Raw genomic sequence first — 3,639 nt, forward strand, 5'->3', positions numbered from 1 at the left:
AAATTTATCTATCAGCCCTTCTTGAAGTGGCTGGCACTCAGAGCTGCATTAGAGTAGGTATAGGAATATTAGGCTTGCCCAAGATAAAATTTGGAGAATGAGGGAATGATTGAGTTGGGTGGACTTAGTGTACAGAATTAGCGGCCACCTCTCAAGAAGTCATCAGACTCTAGCAAAGAAGCCAAAGGGAAGAAACACTCAGGAGGCAAGGCTAACAAGAAGAGAACTGCTAACTGTAGAACTCTTTGGAATTGCCCTTGACAAAGGTATTGAAATATCCAGATGAATGGTTCCATTTTCTTTCCTATGGTATCTAATCTGCTAACTGAGATTATGAATTCATTATCTCTATGTCTTATACGACTACGGTAGTATTTATTTATTTATTTAAAGAACAGTAAGCTCTTACTAAATGATTAATTAAATCTATTTTCAACTATACTCCTATCTCATGTTGAAAGAGTACTAAGAATATAATCAAATATATTCTATTCATAAATGGCCTTAATTTCTGCACAATAAATTAAATTCCCATCAATGTGATTTACATTTGAAGAGTTTTAAGCTTTAACTAACACATGTAGCTCCTCATGAAAAGTGAAAACTTCTCTCTGACATCTAATTTGAAATATTACCTGGCTATGTTGATAAACATTCTCTTTGTTTTCAAGCTCTCTCTAGGTAGTATATCTGGGCAGGAAAAGAAAGAGCTCCATTCATTGAAGCTTCCTCTCTTTCACTAAATTTAATTGGTTTAGAACCATTGTTTTATCCAAATGCAATGTTAACAAATGGACACGTGTAAGCAATAAAAAAGCAGGGTTTTATTCTGAGATTCAGTTATATTCAGTAGGACAGTCAATTCTCTCATTCATATGACTTTATCCAGGAGCTAGTTATTGCAGATGTAGTTATTCCTGAAGGAGAGACAATAACTATATTTAAGGATACCGTATTATCAGAACAGCACGCATGGGCTACATCAGCATGCCAGCGTTGTCCTTCACCTTCTACCCAAGCTCTGTCATATTCTATTCAAAAATGTCACTCAGGCAACCAGCAGGGGGAGGCTTGGAACATAATATAAACAGCGGCTGATATGAAGTATGATTTAGGATCAAACATTTGGGATACATTTACAGTAGGGATATGTGCAAGAAAAGAGGCGCTCCTTCACACCCAGCCAGGAAGCGTATCAGTTTATCCCGTGGAACTTAGCACAAACTTCTCTCCTAGCTCTGTAGACTCGGCGCCCCCTAGGGGTTAGTCGCAAATGCAAAGTTGCACATGCATCCCCTTCTGGCCACATCCCCAGCTCCATCAGAAAGAACTACTTCATTCTACAGTGCAGACCATATACATACATATTCATTCTTACTTTGAAGGATACTGTTTTGGTTCATAAACCACATAGATGCCACTTCTCCTGAATGTATAGCCCCTAAGCCCAGGCCATGTTGCTTTTAAGAATCAACCTTAGTAATACGTGTTTCCTTTATGTTGGCTGACATATTTGATCGCAAGTTGAGTTCTATATAATGTCAGTGTATACCTATAATAGACTCCTAGACCCCTCTTTACAGACAGCCCCTGGACTTTGCTTAGCAAAACAAACTTTGCAATTCACACACATCCAAATTCCAGCACTAGCACTGACTAATTAGGGGACGTTGAACAAGTTATTTAACCTGAGTCTTATTTTCTCAAATCTTTAAAATATACAGAGTCAATAATCACCTGTTAATGATACTATATATTTATAAAAATAAAATTACCTATGTAAAGTCCTAGACACATAATACATATTCAATAAATAGTAATAATTCGTATTTTAAAGTCTTCGGAAAAAAAGAACAAAATGCATTAGCAGATCTTTTACACTTCATTAAACATACTATAGTTTTGTAAATAAGGAAATCACCTTTTTGACTTCGCATCCCAAAGTGCCTGGAAAACTGCATACATATTAGCAATTGAAGGTACATATAGCGAATGAATGGAACAAATATCAGTGTTTTAGGACCGGGTTGCCTCCTTTCACTCTTCCTTCCTTGTGGTAGCATTAATGGCAATAGTACCCCTTCTGGGTTCATTGTATTCTTTCAAAAACTGGAGTTTTTAGCAGAACATATGAAGAGATTAAATTCCACTCAGAGTTATTACATTGTTTACTCAGTCACCTTCTAATCACCCTGTTGCTATTTTAGAATGGCCTTGACTGCCCTGTCTCATAAATTCAGAAGGGAAATTAATCACACATTCTTGCTAGGTGAGATCTTTCCCTGACCCTCTCATCACAGTATTCTGTTTGGCATCTATCATCTTAAACGTATGTATTTCTAGTGGAGGCAAAAAAAAAAAAAAATCTTAGACAGTGATAATACTTTGATCAAAAACTGTCAGAAAATTGCTTTACTCCTGAAAGCCACTGTCCTTACCTACTTTCCTCTCTTCCTTAAAGTGGCAGCCATAAAATTATGCCTTGGAGTTCTCATCAACATGGCATATACAAACGTGGCTGTACATAGTACAGGCCTAGCCGGAAAATGGGCTGTTGTCCCGGGTAATGATCCTGGCGTGTACTGTGGAGGCTAACAAGATTTATCCCAACTATTGATAGCTATATTCTTTTGCTCTTTTATACAAAAATGGGTGATACTTTTGAAATAAGTAGAGAATTATCTTCAGAACAGGTAGCACCAGTGCTCTTCTCAACATTTGTTATCACTAATGATAGAAGCCTTTGGAAGAGCAAAGGGTTACTCTGTATAATATTATTTGCCCATTTGAGCTACCTGGAGATATTTATCACTGTAAATTTTCTACAAAGCATAATTAAAGTATCCCTCAAGAGTTGTATATGTGAAATTAATTATTTAGAACAAGCTGCTACCAGTCTTGGTCACCTGGTAACAGTCTACTGAATGTAAATATCTCATTTTTTACTTAATACTTTTCCATCTGCCTCACCAGTGCCTAGCACTGTGGCTTAGAATTGTGGCCAAGACTACATAAAGATCACATCTTGCATAGAGACGGGTTGTACCTCTCAATGTCAGGAAAGAATGTGTTTGTCCGGACACCAACAGCCTGTAAGTTTAAACTGAAGGCAAGATAATGAGGGAGAAGAATGTGCAGGATAGCTAGAATGGGGAACAGGGAATCACGTGGGAACTGATGGTGAGTGAGAACCAGAGGAGAGAGAAACTGCCTCCAATGCTCAGGTACTGATAAGCAGCACACAAGTAAGAAGAAAAGCACATTTTACTTTACAATAGAGTTACTGTGAGAGCTATCTATGGGACTATGAGGAGAAGCATCAGGGCTGAAAGGCCATGTCCTGCTTAAGTTGAATGACGCCCATGGTTCAGCACAAAAGACAAGAAAAACAGCAGTATGTAATTGTAGGCATTTACCTAGATGGTGCACAATAGAAAACTACTATAGGTTGAAAATGTAGGCGTAATGAGAGATTCCAATTGTATTGAATGATTTTAAATGTCAATTCTTTTCATTAAAAACAGTCCATCTGATATCATATGTCACCCATCTATCTTACATCCTTAGAAGTTAAAGGAGGCAATTAAAAGAAGTATTGTTCCAGATTTTATCATGACTGACAAAGCCAAATTGCAAGCC

The 3,639-nt window shown here is 37.4% G+C and overlaps 1 annotated feature.

Annotated features, from left to right (window-relative positions):
* Nucleotides 1,020-1,314: a silencer, noted in NCBI's record as "tiled region #5473; HepG2 Repressive non-DNase unmatched - State 12:CtcfO". NCBI's record gives its function as "represses a minimal TATA promoter and a strong SV40 promoter by Sharpr-MPRA in HepG2 cells {active_cell/tissue: HepG2}" and the evidence as "EXISTENCE:reporter gene assay evidence [ECO:0000049][PMID:27701403]".

This window comes from Homo sapiens, chromosome 18 (genome assembly GCF_000001405.40).
Source record: "Homo sapiens chromosome 18, GRCh38.p14 Primary Assembly".
Taxonomy (NCBI): Eukaryota; Metazoa; Chordata; class Mammalia; order Primates; family Hominidae; genus Homo; species Homo sapiens.